This window comes from Homo sapiens, chromosome 4, assembly GCF_000001405.40.
Source record: "Homo sapiens chromosome 4, GRCh38.p14 Primary Assembly".
NCBI classification, from domain to species: Eukaryota; Metazoa; Chordata; class Mammalia; order Primates; family Hominidae; genus Homo; species Homo sapiens.
In genome coordinates this window covers 44896304-44897078 of record NC_000004.12, presented here as the reverse complement: position 1 = coordinate 44897078, position 775 = coordinate 44896304, and positions in this window count along the sequence as shown.

Here is a 775-nt window from a genome sequence, read left to right as displayed (position 1 = left end):
TTCTGGGTCTTTAGAAGAAATAAACAACATCTGCCCCTCTGTGCATTATTGGTTTAAAGAACTTTGTGTTTATGAAATATGATGTGCATTAAAAATGCAAATTGTTTCTCACTTTGCATTAAAAAAGATTAAAAATTAATAAGAATTCACTTACTAATGTCAAGTCCCTTATACATTTTAAGTCAAATCACATACATTCTTTAATTCTTTTTTTCCCCCCTACGGAGGAAATTAAAATGTGAAACCTTTCTTTCCCTCCAAATAAAGTAACTACAGGCAAGAGACCCAAGGAAAATGACAAGCCTTTAAGCGATATTGAACCCTTCCTAATGTAAACATCTGGCCTGTCCAAATTCAATGATTAAATCTCAAGTTACGCCGATTCAATTGAGATGCAGTTATTTTAAAGTATATTTCTTGTATATTGTCTCAATTTGCCAGATAAGTTTGGGAAGAGACAAAATAAAATGGTTAGGTTTGCATTTTGCAAATTCACTGCAAACTCGCATACTCCAATTTACAGAGGATCTGGTAGAGCTGATTGAAGATATAATTTGTTATATAGCATTTCACTGTAGAAAGCATATACATCCATCATGCTTATGAATTTAAAACATGCCTTTATTAACCTTTCAGAAGAAATGTTTTGTGTACAAACGGAATACTGCATTTGAAGCAGTCCTATCTTCTCTTAAAATATGATGGGTATTTAAACTTTCAGGGAAAAAAAGATCCCTTTTTAGATTAGACAAATATAATTGATGGAGGAGGTAGA